Source organism: Homo sapiens, chromosome 9 (assembly GCF_000001405.40).
Source record: "Homo sapiens chromosome 9, GRCh38.p14 Primary Assembly".
Lineage (NCBI taxonomy): Eukaryota > Metazoa > Chordata > Mammalia > Primates > Hominidae > Homo > Homo sapiens.
In genome coordinates this window covers 8,330,612-8,350,150 of record NC_000009.12, presented here as the reverse complement: position 1 = coordinate 8,350,150, position 19,539 = coordinate 8,330,612, and the positions used below count along the sequence as shown (strand labels likewise).

Below are 19,539 nucleotides of genomic sequence, written 5' to 3'. Positions count from 1 at the left end.
TGTATCACATCACGGGACATTAAGCCCGTTTCAACTCGTGGGACTAACTCAATCATGTTTTTAGAAATTGAAAACAAATGTTGTAACTGGATGAATGATAATATTGAAGTAATAACAATTTCCTAGTAGGCATACTTGTTTAATGGATTGCATAGTCTTTCAGCTTGTAAACACTGGAACGTCTATCACTTACTGAAATTTAAAAAAAAAAAAAAAACCACTAAAGTTTAGCAATAATTTGGTTTGCTGCTGAAGTCAAACAAATATAGAGTTTGTGTTCTGATTCTCATTAGTGGAATAGTTGTCCTCACCGGAAAATAAAAAGTTGATTTTACTTTAGGGATAACAGAGACCAACATAATGCTAGACTCCATTTAAACTTGCCGTTCTCTTTTTGCTGGAATTTTCTGTAACATAACATAATAAATGTACTAAATTGTGCTGGCCTCAGCCTGAAGCACAGGGTTATGCACTCCTTTTTTAAAAAGATATTTAGAAAAATCTGTCTCAGTGCTTGGCAACTACTCTGACAGAAAACAGATAAAAATAAGGGTGGTTTATCAGTTTTGCTGTTCTTATCATGTTTCAAGTTGAAGGCTGTTGAAATGATGAAAAACAAACAGCACTAAATAGGGTTCCGTCATTATCACTGCAATGGAGAGCTGAGTTTTTCAGGATCAAAGAAAAATGCATTTGCTTTTAGAAGTACAATCCTTCATTTTGAGAGGTGCACTGCACTCAGATACTGATGGGTGAACAAAAAAAGAGTAAATTGGAGAAGGAAACAAAATAAATATATGCTGCTGTGGGAACTTGGAAATTCAAACAAAAGTAGGCTGGGATACTTTTAAAAGCTCTGAATTTTCAACATTCAATTTCTTAAGGAAAAATAAGTGCCGGAGGTTTGTTATTTCTCAGCAATTGGAGTGAAGCATAAGCACAGGTTGTTTGCATCTCATCAAATTATAAGCATTACTTTATCTTTGTAAACATGTATCAAAGGAATTTTCCCATGCTGGGGGCTTCGGGGAAATGTTCCCCTATGTGTTATTGATCTGGGAGAGGGCTTCCTATTTTTAAAGTTTTTTAAATTTTTTTTTTTTATAAATTTTGTCACTCGAGTTGAGCACCTTCAATTTCCCTGGCATGGAAATTGCCAAACAGTAGAGACAACGAAGCTGTTGTCTTTTCCCTGGAGGAGAGCGCCAACTGGCATAAGGATAATAACCAGAAAACAAAACTAAAGTAAGGCAGTTGCTGAAAAAATAGTTATAAATTGTCAAAAGAGTCCAAGGAGGAATAAATCAAAAGGAAATGTTGATTCAGGGTGCAGCAGTTGAGGTGAATCTTGAAGGAAAGTACATGTCAACAGATGAGAAGGAGGTAGAAGGTCCAGCGTCACAAACGCCCAGAGGTGGGAAAGCATAAAACATGTTTAATTTGAACTAGTGCTGAGGAACAGCCAAGAATCTTGTAATGAAAATATTACCTGAGGGCCCTGCGGTTTTAACAGTGAGATCAATGCCTAAAGCATATCTAGATGAAATTTTTGAACCTCCAAGTTAAAGAAACAACCCCCAATTACTTGGGGCAAAAATTACTATTAAAAGACCAGAAACCAGACTGGCCTATGACTTTGTCAAAGGACAACAAAGACCGTGAAGCAATGTATTTAGAGTTTGAAGAGATAATATTGGAGCCCAGTAATCCTGCACAAAACCAAGTTGTTGGTCATATGTAAAGAAAAAAAGAAACCCACAAAGGGTTTCTCAGATATATAAGGCATCAGAAAAAGTGGCATCCATGCATATCTTATATAAAGCATTATTCAAAGACATATTCCAGCCAACCAATAGATGCATCAAAATAAACTCAAGAATAGATGAGCCATGTCAGAAAGATAAACTGTGAAACATGTGAGGCAGAATTATTCTAAATAAATGCTGCTGATGTGGTTATAAGTTTAATAAAAATGTTATAGCCAGTCCCTAAAATGGAAAATAACTATGTGGAACATGCCCTCTTTTTCCCTCACTGCCTTTCAGCCGATGGCTTTCTGTTAGTTATTCAAATGTGCTATGTTGTCTATTCTAGCACTTTTTTTTAGGATATCTTTTCAAAAGCTTTTCCACCCTCTTTATTTAGCAAACAGTTACTTGACCTTTAGGTATTGCGTTAGTCTGCTGGGGCTTCCATAACAAAATACTCCGAACTGAGTGGCTCAAACAACAGAAACTTACTTTCTCACCATTCAGGATGCTGGAAGTCCAAGATGAAGGTGCTGGCAGAGTTGGTTTCAGGAGAGGCCTCTCTTCCTGGCTTTTAGATGACTACTTTCTCACTGTGCCGTCACACGGCCTTTCCTCTGTGTATGCATAGAGAAAAAGATCTCTGGTGTCTCTTCCTCTTACAAGGACATCCATCCTATCTGATTAAAGCTCCCACCTTGTGACTTCATGTAACCTTAATTACCTCCCTAAAGGCCCTGTGTCCAATACAGTCACACTGGGGGTTAGCGTTTCAACATATGAATTTTGAGAAGAAAAACACAATTCAGCCCATAACAGATTTCAGTTTCAATGGCACTTCCTCAAAGGTGCTCTACCAGCATCCTTCACATTTGCCTCACAGCGCCGCTTGAGATTTGTAATTAGATGTTTATTCATGTGATTATTTAATGTCAGATTCCCCCACTAAACTGTAAGCTCCGACAGGAAAGATCACGTTTGTTCTGCTCATTCCTTCTTCGATGTCTCAGCACATGGTAGGCACTCAGTAAATGTTTGTGGAATAGTAGGCGACAGAGTCATGAAAATACAACAAATATGGATGGAAGAACAAAGTTAGGAACTCTTCCTCTTTGTCCCTGGATGGTGGGAATGGATGCTTTAGCATAGTCATATGTGCTGGTAAATATGTAAAAACCTGCTCTCTGGGGAGAAAAAAAGTAGTATTTCCTGATTTCTTTGGTGTAAATATTCCCATGGATGATTTCAAGCTACAAACATGAGGTCACTAGAGAGAGACGATCACCAGCACATTATTAGTGTAGTCCCCCTCTATCCGCAGGGGATATGATCCAACATCCCCAGTGGATGCCTGAGTCCCCAGAGAGTACCAAGCTCACTTGCCATCAGTCATGGCATGTTTCTGTTCATGTATTTCACCCAAAATTTAATGCCTTTTTCATCTTAACTAAGTGCTTATCACATACTGTGGCCGTAGCTTTTGCAGTTTGAGGTGCAACAGCAGAACAATCATGAATTTCTTTTTCCTTCTTCACAATTGTACATATAGAGGATTGATTCTTACCATAGATCTTAGCAACCTCAGCATACGATTTCTCTTTCTTTCCTTATTGAAAACTTTCACCTTTTCACTTAAAGGAAGCACTTTGCAGCTGCTTTTTGGCATATCCAAATTGCCCAGATCACTACTCTTGCACTTTGGGGCCATCAAGTAAAATAAGGGTTAGTTGAAGACAAACACTACAATACCAGGGCAGTCCATCGGATAACCGAGATGGCTACTAAGTGACTAACAGGCAGGCAGCCTGTATAGCATGGATACACTGGACAAAGGGATTGATTCACACCCTGGGCTGGATGGAAAGGGAGGGCTTGAGATTTCACCACACTTTTCAGAAAAGTATGTCATTGAAAACTTATTTCTGGAATTTTCCATTTAATATTTTCAGACCGTGGTTAACCGCAAATAACTGAGATTGCAGAAAGTCAAAACCACAGATAAAAGGGGACTACTCTATATGATGTTTTCACCTCAAGAGCATAAAATAATTTGAAACAATTAAGAAACAATGAGTTTTATATATTACCTTTATTTTTAATATATTTATTTCAGCAAATAATCCCTGAAAATGTAAGGATTGGCTTTTGCTAGCTCTAGCACACCACTGATGGGGAGTTGAAGATAATCGTGGAGTTTGAATACATAACAATTTATAATTTATTATTTTGCAGGGTAAGAGGCAAAAAGAGTCTAAGATGATTTTTCAGTTTTAAACCTGAGTGTCAAGGAGAGCCTGAGAGTGGGAGGAGCAGATTTGAAAGGAGAAGATACTGATTAAGCTTAGAATCTTTATTTTTGATAAACTTGAAGACAGTTTGAAATATAGATCTCCACTTGTGCTGAAAAAGAAAGGCATCACTTTAGGAATCCTTTGGAGACTACTACTGAGAGAAAGAAGGACAGAACTTTTGGAGCATTATCTACATTTTGGGGACTGGCAGAGATATGTAATCCGTGAAATTGATACAGATGGAAGAATCCAGAGAGGCAGGTAGAGAATTAGCACTGGAGTCAAATAAAAAAAACAAAACGAAACATACTGAGGCACAGTCTGAACGGATGCCAGTAGATTTCTGAAGATGACATTTAGAGTTCATCTTTGATTTCGATTTCAAACGTGGTAGGAATTCTACCCTGTTACAGAATCAATGGAACCGTGATACAGGATCATGATACAATTATTTTGGGCTGATTTCGTGTACTACCTGTTTTGGATTATTTTGTGTCTGGAGTAATGACACAATCTCCACCCTTGCTACCATTAACCCCAAGGGAGTATCTGATGTTTCCCATACTCCCTTGACTAGTGTCCTTAAAACCAAGGATAGAAAGCTTTTCTAGGAACCTGCATTAGGGATAGTCAAATGCTGCCAATGAAATATCACAGACGAGCGCTCTACAGGAAAGTCACCATATTTGGCAATGACTGCTGACCTAAATGGTGGAAAGCATTGTGAAGCACTGGGGGTGCTGGGAACAGGGTGCTAAATTTTAACACCTCAGAACCTGCATTTGAGTCTTCTCTGCTATCCAGGTATGGCGTGCATGACTGTAGGACTTCAGGGCAGTTCCCAAGTGTTGTCAGAGAAGGGGAAAGGAAACCAACATTTACTGAATGCTTCTTAGGTGTCAAGCACTGTGGTAGGAAGGCCCTTGCCTGCCATCTCATTTGCCACGATGATAAATGTGAACGCAGAAAGCTCCTCAGGTATAAGGCACATTTATTGGAAAGAAGGCAGAGGAAAGGAAGAGCAGCTTGAGAGAGTAGACGAAAGCAAGATTTTAAAAGCCAAATCTCAAATGTTTCTAAAGTAATTCTGTCATAATTTTCCCAGCATTACATTGCTTGTTTCTCATTGTCAGCTTTAGAGACTGAATGTTAAAATGGAGTTTGTACCTAGAAAGTAACTGCCTTTTCCATTATGTTTGCAAAACACTTGGTATTTTTAATTTAGCCTTAAGACTTACTGGATAATTAGACTCACTAGAAAATTAACGTTAATAAGAGTTAACTGTCACTATCATTTAAGAAATATGGGAATATAAGGAAGGGGTTAAAATGTCTTTCTCAAGGACACACAGCCATTGATGTCTGAAGAGGTACCTTAAGCCTCAAGGTCTTGCTTCAAGCGAAAACACTTATTTAATGTTTAAATCCCTCAAGAATTCTTCATCCTAGAAGAAGGTAACACATTAAGTTCCAAACGTCAGCTCCTTCCCTATCTTCCATATGAATAGCAGGATTGGGCAGTTAACAATATTTTGAATTGTGGGGGAAAAAATAGGTTTTGTTCAAGTCATAGCCTCTGTTATTTCTTTTCATCCCACAATTCATGATTTGGACTCACACGTATTTGATTTTTTTCCCTTATTTTTTGGAAAAAAAAAATCACCATTATGAAAAGGTTGATACTGTTTAGAGTTGGAGTTATTCCTACCAATTTTGCAAGATTCTGTAGTATCTTTCTGCCAGAATATAGAACCATGCATCATCCAGACATTTGAATGGTCCCTGATGCATATTTTGAGAAAATAGTCCTGCCATTATCTAGAATTGACTTGATGTATAGGGCTCAGTTCTAAGGTTTACAGTGTGGTTTCCACTGGGAAGAACTGCATAAAACTGTGTCCATGAGAAACGATTCACAGCTGCAATGAAGACAATTTAGAAAGACAACACAGAAAGAACGAAAGATGTTACTTGGAGTCTCAGGACCTGCCAAACATGGAGTTTGAAAGAAACCCAGAAAGACAAATCTTTTCCAGGTTGAGTCTGACTTAGGTTCCTTTAACTGCAATCTGATGGCATATCAGGAGACCAGCAAAGAGACTACTTAAAGTGATTTTCCTGTCTCTTTATTCCTGATCAAACACTATGCAGAGGAGTCCTCGGGTACTCCTTACATAATTCCAAACCCTTGTCAAATGTAGGATTTTGCATGGTCTGAAGAGTCCTGCTTCCTAAGTAGGCTTACCTTACCGGGACGGGCTGCTCATTACTGCAGGCATCTCAAGCCAGTCACTAATTTGTTTACTTATTTCACAAACACTGTTGAGCACTTACTGCATGCTTTGTGTAGGGCACACAAATATTTTTTTTAATGCAGTTCCTGCTCTCAAGATGTATGCTGTTGTTTATGGATGGCTGCCCTAAATTAATAATATAATTTGGTTAGAATTGTAGTAAAGGGGTATTTGAGGGCAACCAGGGATCTGAGGCAGAGGATGATTAAAACCACCTGGGAGGGTAGGAATGGGGAATGTCAGGGAAAACTCGCCATCTAACAGGTTTCTTTAGAACCAACTAAATAAAATGAGACTTCATGGATCTCAAGGAACTGGAACCACCAGGCCGACTTTGCTCTATATTAATGTTTGCATCAGGTTGCCAATTGGTCTGTGCTAAGGTATGTGCTATCATTTGTAGGACTCTCTGTCTCAGAAGGCTTTTGCATGATATATCAATGTCATGTCAATTTGTGGGTTTATACTTGGGATTGGATTCTTGGCATCAGTATTCAGGAGCCCTCTGGCATAGGACATAAAAAAGTAACCTATTTTAAAGTAGTGGTTATATCAAATTCCCAGCTAGTTAGCCCAGTCTGTAAACCACAGAGCTCCTGTATGCAAGCTAGCTTTGATATACACTGTTCAGCAGTTAAATAAAGGTATTATTTTGTTTAAAAAAAAAATGATCTCTTACTGCCTTGCAGCCACTATGATACCAAACAGAAACTGCCATTTCAGTTGAGACAGGCACCCTGGTGAGCATTAACTCATTTGTTTTGGAGTTCTGGTATCTTCGTTGCAAAGGTGCCTTGCCAGACCTATGAAAATTTCACATGTAGCTCCCAGAGCCAGCAGTGTGATTACCAAAGCCATCCGTCCTTTGTTCATACTACAACATCTTTAATTCCTCATCCTTCCTGTCCTTCAAGTCCTACTTCAAATGCCACATCATATACAAAACTAATACATCCTTTTTCTTTCTTGTTTAGAAATAGCTGTGTATAAAGTATTATGTCCCTTCGATACACTCTGAGCTCTTTAGAGATAGCATCTAAGTCATCTTTATGTCGTATCCCCTATTTCACTTAGCAGAGTACTTCATTGTTTATTGAATGAAGAAATGGACAGATCAATGAGGGATGGACAATAAATGAACACATAGATACACAGATGACAGGAAACATAGCATGTAGCAAATGAAGGAGGCTGTCTGTTGCCTGTTACCTAAGATGGTAATATACACCTATTATATACCTATTCCTGTTGATGACATGTTTACCAGCCTGATAAACCCGCATGATCAGGAAGAGAAAGTATTTTGGATTGAACCATACTTGACACATAAATGTCCTCAGCCTGAAGGGTTTGATAAATAGGAAGCATGCGAGGTTTAGCTTGAGACTGTAAAAACAATCTTTATGTTTTGTACATGGGACGAAAACAGATTGAGAGAGTTTGCAAGAACTATAGCCTAGCCAGATCTGGACCAATATATAAAACTATCTTCTAAATATGGACAGACTAAATGTTTGTATTTTTTTCATAATGACTTCAAAAGTTTTCGAAATAATGTTCACTTTGTATTGCATGATCAAGGAACATAGTGATTATGGATTTAATATTTTTTACATTTTAAAACTAAACTAATTTTACTCAGTCTTTTGTTCCCTGTCCTCTGATTATGGTGCCTAGATAATACTTTTGACTTTAGAGTATTACAAAGTCATCCCAATAGCTATTTGAGTAGAAGTAATGGATGTAAGGTCTAGTTAATAAGAATAATAAAAATACTTTTATTATGTATTGATTTTCTGATAGGTTTATTTGGGCTTTTCTTCTCTATTTTCCTCATAGTGCGGGAGTTGGCCGGACTGGTTGCTTCATCGTCATAGATGCCATGTTAGAAAGAATAAAGCATGAAAAAACTGTAGATATTTATGGCCATGTAACTTTAATGAGAGCCCAGAGGAACTATATGGTTCAAACAGAAGACCAATACATCTTTATCCATGATGCACTGTTAGAAGCAGTGACTTGTGGAAATACCGAAGTGCCAGCTAGAAACTTGTATGCCTACATTCAGAAGCTGACACAAATAGAAACGGGAGAGAATGTCACAGGAATGGAGCTCGAATTTAAGGTATGGTATTGGATGTGATGTGGTTATTCAGGAGCAAGTCATTCTGGGTTTGTCTTTGAGTCGTGGCTTTACTTTAACCTTTCAAATTTGTGAAGTACAAGATTCATTTGACCTTTCCCTCAGGTGTATGATTATAAAATGTATTCCTCCCCTTTTCCTCTTCTATTCTTTGCTTCCTAACAATATCTTGAGCCCTTATGTCTCCTAACTTGAGAGACTATACTTTCAGAAAATATATAGAAATCCAATAGGCTATAGAGAGTGATTAGGTAGATGTGAAAAGCAGTACAATTTGAATAGTCATTTACTTTAAGTAAACAAAAGATTTATATCTAAAAGGGAAATCTGGGGTACACTGCATTCAAACTGTAGGTGAAAATGATCTTTGTTGGGTTTTTCCTTTTTTTTTTTTCCTATTCAACAGCGTCTAGCCAGCTCAAAAGCTCACACCTCAAGGTTTATCAGTGCCAATCTTCCATGTAATAAATTCAAAAATCGCCTTGTTAATATTATGCCATATGAATCCACAAGGGTATGCCTGCAGCCTATCCGTGGAGTAGAAGGATCTGATTACATCAATGCCAGTTTTATTGATGGATACAGGTATCTACTTTTGCTCCCCTGACTATCCAAAGCCTTGATATTTACATGTGCCCTAGTTTAATAACCAGAATAAATTTCATCTCCATTCAAAGACATTTTCTTTCTGCATAGGTCATCATTTAGTCCCTTGGTATTTGTTTTTTTGTTATTTTGGATAGGAGTTAGGAGTAGTAGTTATGAAGTGTTTAATCTGGCCTTCTGCACTCTTCTTTCATAAGCCAATTGGATATGTAAGTAGTTAATAAAGAATCTGTTTTGTACCATATTTCATAAATTTAATAGATTGTGTGAGAATAATTTCTAGAAAATGAAGCTGCACATCTAAGTGTTTCTTAAGTAATTTGTATGACAATGAAATTGAGCTATTAGCATTGCGCTAAAATTCAAATAATAATGATAAAGACATACATCATAATATTAACAAGCAATTTAGTTTGCGAAGTCCCCAAAATGTATTAAATGCTCTTATTTGATTATTTAATCTTAGCAGGAATTTACCTCAATTGCATTAATAATATGTTTTCGTTTTTTATTAGCAGGTTGATGTTTATGTATCCAGTGTGAGCTTTTGCATGTTCTCTAAATACTTTAACACATTCTTTTCATTCTCTGTAATTCAGACAACAGAAAGCCTACATCGCTACCCAGGGGCCCTTGGCAGAGACCACTGAAGACTTCTGGCGGATGCTCTGGGAACACAATTCCACCATAGTTGTGATGCTCACCAAGCTGCGTGAAATGGGCAGAGTAAGTGTGTGGCCCTTGTGTGTCTCCTCATAAGACATTTACTCTGTGGAGAAATGAAGACTTTGTTTCAATAACTCTTGTGCTAGATCATTTTTTTTGAAATGCAGTGCACTCTGGACATAATCCGGACCATCATTCCTTGTTAGTTTCTAAATTTGTAAAGCCACATCAAGTGTTTAAATTTATGTGTTTTAAAGAAAGATCTAGTGATTTGTTTCCAGTGAAGCACAAGCATGGAGACAAATGAGTAGCAGGTGTCCCCGTTTGACTTATGTCGGACTTCTTTTAGCATATTCTTACTGCCTTTTGTTCTGGACAGGCTAGAGTTTGATGTGCCATCATTTCTACTTATGAAGGAACTTGACTTTCTTTTCTTCCTGAGGCAAATTCTTACTTGCCTACCTTTCACTCCCATTGAATAAAGTGTTGGAAAGCAACATAGTTTTTCTAAGGATATAACCTGGTAATCCCAGATCCACTTTTGAAAAAAGTGGTTTGTTTTTTTTTGAAATACACATAAAATAGTATTAGAAATACTTAAGGTTTCTACTATTAATACTGCTCTACCACTATGACCTAATATTATTTAGAGATACCTCTTAGATTGACTTGATGTAAGCATTATTTCGTATTTGCTTCAGATATTTTCTTTCTGTCTTCTTTGTGTAAATTAAATAGAAGTGCAGCTAAAGCCCAACTTGTAGAGCCCCCGGAGAGAACAAAAAGAATATCAGACGAGGAAAGTAACTGACTTACTCTGATTTGGCCAATGACTCTGCAGGGTTTAGCCAAGTCATTAAAATGGACTGGGCCCCTCGTTTCCTTGACAAGTAAGATTGGAACAAATCAATTCGGAGGTTTCTTTCTATGTCCATACTGATGGTTCTCTTCATTCCAAACCATAGTGGTGCAAGTATGCTGTGGTGGTGCAATGTGTTATTGTCATGGCCAGCATTGTCCAAGGACTGATGTAATTATTTGGATAACTTGTAGGTATGAAGATGCTTACCCTATGAAAGTATTCAATTCTCAATTCAACTCGTGTATATTAAGCAGCTACTATCTGCCAGAGACCGTGCTGGATGCCATAGGCAAATACTGAACCAAAGGGTTTCCCTATGAAGGGAGCTCATGGTTTCTAAGAGGAAATGAGTCATATGCAATTGGAATTGCCTTGAATTTTGAAATTTTATTAATGGGATAAGGAAATTAGATAGATTAGATAGATAGATAGATAATATACAGAATGTTCTTTATACTTTGCATAGTTTAACATTAATCTTCTCTCCTTTTAGGAGAAATGTCACCAATACTGGCCAGCAGAACGGTCTGCAAGATACCAGTACTTTGTTGTAGATCCCATGGCTGAGTACAACATGCCACAGTATATCCTAAGGGAATTCAAGGTCACAGATGCCAGGGTAAGTTGGCACAGTCTTCAACTCTTAACCATTAGCTGAAAAGTAGTCTAAGATACCTCTCTCTCTCTCTCTCTGGGAGAAGCACTTGCCACTTGACTGTTGTCCCAAAGAGAAATCATTCATTCTGGAGAACGTTTTTTTTTATGTTTAATATGTAAGAGTAACTTTTCCTCTGTCTGGCAAGCTTTCTCACAAACCTTAGTTTGGCTTTCATTCAAACATAACATCTGGCAGCTCAACCTTGGGGATGCACTTGGTGAGTGTTCGTGCTGGGAAGTGTTTACTGATTGGTTGGCTGTGCTTACATTCACCTTCTCAGCTCATGCTCTTTGGAGCTTTTTTGACTTCTTCATTACTTGAGGCTCTAAATATGTTGTTGTTTTGCAAAGCCCTTTAGGTCATATGGACCCAGAGGTTAATTTGGTATGATTTTAAAACCGCAGAGCAAATGGCATTCTTTAGAAAAATCTGACAAGCTTTGCACATTCTAATTTGATTCCTGGCATGGCTTATTCCTCAGTGTGCTAATGTGTCTGTCCATGAGAGCTGTGCTCCCATGACCCTTGTTGGCTAATTTTCATCCTGCATTTCTTATCTGGATTGTTGAGTCCAAGGTTCAGCCCTGATGTAAGATGTTCTATGCATAAACTCTGATATCTTCGCCTTTGGCCACTTTCAACCCATGATTACAAACACATCTTAAGGGAGACCAGGTCAGTTCAAAGACCTGCCTTGTGTTTGGAACTGTCACAGTGGGTGGGTTGAATAAAACTCCAGGGTAAAGCTATTTAGTTGATCCATTGTTTTTTCTGGAAAGCAGCTTTCTCCAAACTTAGGTTTGGAGATTGTCTGCTAATCCCCAAAGCCTGGCCCTGGCTGTTGACCTTAAGTGAAAGAGAAATTGGTTAGCAGGAGGGTTGGCCTAGGTGACAGACCTGTTAATCCCAGAAAGTTATATTAACTATTCTGAAGGTGACAGTATTCAAGGCAGCAGTTAAATCTCTAGGTCTTGAGTGTAACCTGCCCCACCGTTTAAAAAAAAAAAAAATAGTGCTCTTTCAGAATTTGAAGCTAGGTATGTGAGTGAAAATAGAAAGTGCATTTTGAGTAAACTCACCAACTATTCCTGGTGATAAAGAAAAGGCACCAGGCCCCACCAATGGCAGAGACACCTTTCCTATTCCACACATGCACAACTTAAATCTGATCACAATAAACAAAAGAAGATTGAAACCGGAAGTTGCTCACCTTTTTTTTTTTAAAGTCTCCCTGTGATTGTATAATTTTCTTAGCTACTACATTTGCTGTTTGTCTGTGCTCCTGGAGTGTAAGTCCTGAATACATGTGCAGAACATGCAGGTTTGTTACATAATTTAATTATACATGTGCCACGGTGGTTTGGTGCAACATCAACCCATCATCTACATTAGGTATTTCTCCTAATGCTATCGTTCCCCTAGACTCCAAACCCGCAACAGGCCCCAGTGTGTGATGTTCCCCTCCGTGTGTCCGTGTGTTCTCATTGTTCAACTCCCACTTTTGAGTGCAGTGTTTGGTTTTCTGTTCCTGTGTTAGTTTGCTGAGAATGATGGTTTCCAGCTTCATCCATGTCCCTGCAAAGGACATGAACTCATCCTTTTTTATGGAATACTCACTCACCATAATATTCCATAGTGTATATGTGCCACATTTTCTTTATCCAATCTATCATTGATGGACATTTGGGTTGGTTACAAGTCTTTGCTATTGTGAATAGTGCCACAATAAACATACGTGTGCATGTGTCTTTATAGTAGAATGATTTATAATCCTTTGGGTATACACTCAGTAATGGGATTGCTGGGTCAAATGGTATTTCTGGTTCTAGATCCTTGAGGAATCACCAAACTGTCTTCCACAGTGGTTTAACTAATTTACACACCCACCAACAGTGTAAAAGCATTCCTATTTCTCCACATCCTCCCCAGCATCTGTTGTTTCCTGACTTTTTAATGATCGCCATTCTAACTGGTGTAAGATGGTATCTCATTGTGGTTTTGATTTGCATTTCTCTAATGACCAGTGATAGCATTTTTTCATATGTTTGTCTGCCGCATCGGTGTCTTCTTCTGAGAAGTGTCTGTTCATATCCTTTGCCCACTTTTTGATGAGGTTGTTGTTTTCCTGTAAATTCGTTTAAGTTCTTTGTAGATTCTGGATATTAGCCCTTTGTCAGGTGGATAGATAGCAAAAATTTCCTCCCATTCTGTAGGTTGCCTGTTCACTCTGATGGTAGTTTTTTTTTTTTTTTTTTGCTCTGCAGAAGCTCTTTAGTTTAATTAGATCCCATTTGTCACTTTTGGCTTTAGTTGCCATTGCTTTTGGTGTTTTAGTCCTGAAGTCTTTGTGTATACCTATGTCCTGAATGGTATTGCCTAGGTTTTCTTCTAGGGGTTTTCATCATTTTACATCTTAGGTTTAAGTCTTTAATCCATCTTGAGTTAATTTTTGTATAAGGAAGGGATCCAGTCTCAGTTTTCTGCATATGGCCAGCCAGTTTTCCCAACACCATTTATTAAATAGAGGAGCCTTTCCCCATTCTTGTTTTCCCTCAGGTTTGTCAAAGATAAGATGTTTGCAGATGTGTGGCGTTACTTCTGAGGCCTCTGTTCTGTTCCATTGGTCTATATCTCTGTTTTGGTACCAGTACCATGCTGTTTTGGTTACTGTAGCCTTGTTTGAAGTCAGGTAGCATGATCTCTCAAGCCTTGTTCTTTTTGCTTAGGATTGTCTTGGCTTTGTGGGCTCTTTTTTGGTTCCATGTCAAATTTAAAGTAGTTTTTTCCCATTCTGTGAAGAAAGTCATTGGTAGCTTGATGGGGATGGCATTGAATCTATAAATTACCTTGGGCAGTATGGCCATTTTCACGATATTGATTCTTCCTATCCGTGAGCATGGAATGTTCTTCCATTTGTGTCCTCTCTTATTTCCTTGAGCAGTGGTTTGCAGTTCTCCTTGAAGAGGTCCTTCACATGCCTAGGTATTTTATTCTCTTTGAAGCAATTGTGAATGGGAGTTCACTCATGATTTGGCTGTTATTGGTATATAGGAGTGCTTGTGACTTTTGCACATTAATTCTTTATCCTGAGATTTTGCTGAAGTTTCTTATCAGCTTGAGATTTGGGGCTGAGACAATGGGGTCTTCTAAATATACAATCATGTCATCTGCAAACAGAGACAATTTCACTTCCTCTTTTCCTAATTGAATACCCGTTACTTCTTTCTCTTGCCTGATTGCCCTGGCCAGAACTTCCAATACTGTGTTGAATAGGAGTGGTGAGAGAGGGCATCCCTGTCTTGTGCCAGTTTTCAAAGGGAATGCTTCCAGTTTTTGCCCATTCGTTATGACAGTGGCTGTGCGTTTATCATAAATAGCTCTTCTTATTTTGAGATACGTTCCATCAGTACCTAGTTTATTGAGAGTTGTTAGCACAAAGTGGTGTTGAATTTTGCCAAAGGCCTTTTCTGCATCTATTGAGATAATCATGTGGTTTTTGTCATTGGTTCTGTGTATGTGATGGATTATGTTTATTGATTTGTGTATGTTGAACAAGCCTTGCATCCCAGGGATGAAGCCGACTTGATCGTGGTGGATAAGCTTTTTGATGTGCTGCTGGATTCGGTTTGCCAGTACTGAGGATTTTGGCATCGATGTTCATCAGGGATATTGGCCTGGAATTTTCTTTTTTGTTGTGTCTCTGCCAGGTTTTGGTATCAGGATGATGCTGGCCTCATAAAATGAGTTAGGAAGGAGTCCCTCTTTTTGTATTGTTTGGAATAGTTTCAGAAGGAATGGTACCAACTCCTCTTTGTACCTCTGGTAGAATTCATCTGGTCCTGGACTTTTTTGGTTGCTAGGCTATTAATTACTGCCTCAATTTCAGAACTTGTTATTGGTCTATGCAGAGATTCAACTTCTTCCTGGTTTAGTCTTGGGAGGGTGTACGTCTCCAGGAATTTATCCATTTCTTCTAGATTTTCTAGTTTATTTGCATAGAGGTGTTGATAGTATTCTCTGATGGTAGTTTGTATTTGTGTGGGATCAGTGGTGATTTCCCCTTTGTCCTTTTTTATTGTGTCTGTTTGAGTCTTCTGTCTTTTCTATCTATTTTGTTGATCTTTTCCAAAAGCCAGCTCCTGGATTCATTGATTTTTTGAAGGGTTTTTCGTGTGTCTATCTCCTTCAGTTCTGTAGTGTTCTTAGTTATTTCTTGTCTTCTGTTAGCTTTTGAATTTGTTTGCTCTTGTTACTCTAGTTCAATTGTGATGTTAGGGTGTCGATTTTAGATCTTTCCTGCTTTCTCTTGTGGGCATTTAGTGCTATAAATTTCTCTCTACACACTGCTTTAAATGTGTCCCAGAGATTCTGGTACATTGTGTCTTTGTTCTCATTGGCTTCAAAGAACATCTTTATTTCTGCCTTCATTCTGTTATTTACCCAGTAGTCATTCAGGAGCAGGTGGTTCAGCTTCCATGTAGTTGTGTGGTTTTGAGTGGTTTTTTTTTTAATCTTGAGTTCTAATTTGATTGCACTGTGGTCTGAGAGACCGTTTGTTATGATTTCCATTCTTTCTTTTGCATTTGCTGAGGAGTGTTTTACTTCCAATTATGTGGTCAATGTTAGAATAAGTGCAATGTGGTGTTGAGAATATATATTCTCTTGATTTGGGGTGGAGAGTTCTGTAGATGTCTATTAGGTCTGCTTAGTCCAGAGCTGACTTCAAGTCCTGAATGTCCTTGCTAATATTCTGTGTCATTGATCTAATATTGACAGTGGGGTGTTAAAGTCTCCTATTATTATTGTGTGGGAGTCTAAGTCTCTTTGTAGGTATCTAAGAACTTGCTTTATTTTATGAATCTGGGTGCTCCTGTATTGGGGTCACATATATTTAGGATAGTTAACTCTTCTTCGTTCATTGATCCCTTTGCCATTATGTAATGGCCTTCTTTGTCTCTTTTGATCTTTGTTGGTTTAAAGTCATCAGTTTTATCAGAGACTAGGATTGCAACCCCTGCTCTTTTTTTTTGCCTTCCATTTGCTTGGTAGATCTTCCTCCATCCCTTTATGTTGAGCCTATGTGTATCTCTGCGTGTGAGATGGGTCTTTACTCTTTATCCAATTGGCCAGTCCGTGTCTTTTAATTGGGGCATTTAGTCCATGTACATTTAAGGTTAATATTGTTATATGCAAATTTGATTCTGTCATTATGATGCTGGCTGGTTATTTTGCCCATTAATTATGCAGCTTCTTCATAGCGTTGATGGTCTTTACAATTTGGTATGTTTTTGCAGTGGCTGGTACCAGTTGTTCCTTTCCATGTTTAGTGCTTCCTTCAGGAGCTCTTGTAAGGCAGGCCTGGTGGTGACATAATCTCTCAGCATTTGCTTTTCTGTAAAGGATTTTATTTCTCCTTTGCTTATGAAGCTTAATTTGGCTGGATATGCAATTCTGGGTTGAAAATTACAGTATTGTTAAACAGGTAACCTTTAAATGAAGTCAGGCAGTCTCTCCTCCAAATAGAAGGTATTTGCACACATGACCTCTTCTTGCTATTGAAAGCAACTGTGGTCAGAAATGAAATCCCCAGGACATTCAGAGGAGAATAAATCTGTATTACCTAGCTTCTGGGTCTCCTTCCTGTGCTTTCCAAATCTTTTCCAGAAACAGAGGGAAGTAAATCATGCTTCCATGGTAACCATCCATAAAGTACTTATGGGGCCAAATAGTTTTCTCTATTTCTCAGTATTCCCACACACTTGGTGTCATCTTCCTGTTTATCTCCATCCCCAAATAACATCAGTCAGGAATCTGGCATGTCCCTGTGAAAACCACCAGGCGAGGTGATGAGTGCTCATCTCACACTGAGATCCTCTCTCTTCTCAATATGAGTGAATGATAAAGGATTGAGTCCCTGTTCACTTACCCAGAACCTTGGGAACATGCACACGTGTATCTAAAAAAAGTTTGATGAGGAAATAATGTGTTAACAGAAACAATGGAGGAACAAGTTGAAGGCTCTTTAATGAGAAGAGACCATTTAGGAGTAGGACCTCTTCAAATGAGAAATGAGATCGGTCTCTCTAAGCTTGGATTATTTCTCTCTGCTGATGAGTCAGGGGAGAAGGTTGATGGGCAATGTATTATTTCTGCTTCTATAAACAGAGGCTCCCTTCCACTTTTCTTGTACTTCTAGAAACACCTTAAATTTCCACAAGGGATCAGAAGATCAGAAATGCCTTAGTGTCTTCTTTTCAACCCAGATATACTTCGTGAGTCAGAGCAGTTTTACCTAATCACTCTAAAAAAGAAAGACTGCTCTTCAATCTGGCTTTTTTTTCTACCTTTTGGTTTATCTATGTTAAAGCTCTCCACAGACTGTTAATTCCTGTGGTCAGCCAGGGAGAGCTCTTTTTCAGAAAAGGGCATTTGTTTGCTAATAGTCGTTGGTATCCTTGAGGGATGCTTTACTTCCCACTTAACAGCACAGTCATATGGTTCATGCTATGTCCCCTGCCATGGCTAGAAATGGTATTCCTCTGAGACATGGGGGGCATCCAGGTTAACAGCAACTACCGGGTTTGTGTCAGATACTTTAAATTTCACCATTTGTCATTTGACAACGGTAGAAATACGCAAGCACAGCAGATGTGAAGTTATTGCGACAACTGCAAAAGCTCTGGTCTGGATGACATGCCTAGGTGCTTGTTTCAATATTTATTACAAAGTAATTAGTTTCTGAAATTTTTGAAATGGAATATATATGTTCCATTTTATATGTTCCATTTTGGAAGGAATGCAGACATGATGAATGGTTACGAACCCCCACTTTGGGTCTCAGAAACATTTGTTAATGGGGGAACTATGTGGATGGCTACTAACGAGAACCAGGTTTTTAACTGGGCACTGCAAGAGTAAATAAATTTAGGATTTCAAGAGTAAATAAATTTAGGATTTAAAGGTATGTGAGTGTGGACAATATTTATAGCAGATAAACCATAACTAAGTTTCTATTTAAACATGTTCCTAACTTTTTCTACCCTTTTTGTTTTCGGGAAATGAAAATGATTGTTCTTGTGGTCCGTATGCTTGCTGAATCCTCCTGGCGTCTTCCTTTGCGGCCGGGTATGTGGCTTTCCTTCTAAAGGACGGCCAGTCCCGAACAGTAAGGCAGTTCCAGTTCACTGACTGGCCAGAGCAAGGAGTGCCAAAGTCCGGAGAAGGATTTATTGACTTCATCGGCCAAGTCCATAAAACAAAAGAACAGTTTGGCCAAGATGGACCCATTTCAGTCCATTGCAGGTAAGTTTCCATTTGTGAATAAAGCAGTGATAAGTGGTGGTGTTTCTTCATTGTCTGTATACACTTTTTGTAGTAAGTTTGCTTATTTGAAATTTTATTCTTGGCAATGTATTACAAAACTTAAAGCAGGATTGATTTCTCTTTCTTTTCATAAAGTGAAAATAAGTGAAAATAATCAGAGGAAAATGTTTAGCCCCAAAAAAATGTTTATCCCCCAAAAAATTTGCTTCCTATTAGACAAACCAAATTACCAATTTTACCTTAATGGGAATTGTTGGTACCTCCCCTAGTAATAATTCGTTGTTAATCATTTCATATTTGCTTTTGCTTTCATAGCAATGCACTGATAACTGTCTTTCTTCTGTTTGTGAAAACCTCATGAATAGCTATCAAATAAATCCTAATGACAATATTAAGTTCTGCCAGTCAATAAGTGCTTAGTATGGTACCTCAGTTAAAAAATGCAATTTGCTTGAAAATTGTTGCTATATCAGAAAATGAAGCACCTTCAAGTTAATTATTTTCAATAGTTTCTAGAGCATTTTATAACTCAAGTCATTGAAGTTAATAGAAATAAATAGCAAGTAAATAGTTCAGACATTCACCATAAATTTAGTGTTTTTGGAAGTTGCTATGCAAAAACCTTCTAACAAAAGCAATTCATCTAATTTTATTTAAACTAATATATTTTAGGGTTCTGGCAACTTGACATCTAATCTTTTTATGGTGAAACTCTTGAGAGAGTTTATTAAAAAATATATTTTGCTTCAGCACATCAAAGAAAACTATAGTTCTTTACGACATAGAAGGCAGGATCTCAAAATAGGACAAATATTAGACTTGGGCTAAGATAGCTGTGTTCTAATCTCAATTCTATTATTTGGCTCTATGATAATGAAGTTTCTCTGGACTTCAGTTATCTTAGCTGAGGTTTAAAGTCCCTTCTAGCATCCTTTGTTTCTCAGGCATG

At 38.0% G+C, this 19,539-nt stretch overlaps 1 protein-coding gene across 55 annotated transcripts in view; it reads left to right on the top strand.

The window, feature by feature from the left end:
- Positions 1–19,539, top strand: part of PTPRD (protein tyrosine phosphatase receptor type D) — a 2,298,757-nt gene that overhangs the window by 2,262,852 nt on the left and 16,366 nt on the right. For all 55 annotated transcript variants that reach the window (NM_002839.4, XM_017014961.3, XM_006716827.5 and 52 more), the window contains 5 exons: positions 8,173–8,458; positions 8,883–9,061; positions 9,682–9,808; positions 11,104–11,229; positions 18,415–18,569. In NM_002839.4, the coding sequence (NP_002830.1) occupies positions 8,173–8,458; positions 8,883–9,061; positions 9,682–9,808; positions 11,104–11,229; positions 18,415–18,569 (873 nt within the window). The remainder of the gene's footprint in view (positions 1–8,172; positions 8,459–8,882; positions 9,062–9,681; positions 9,809–11,103; positions 11,230–18,414; positions 18,570–19,539) is intronic.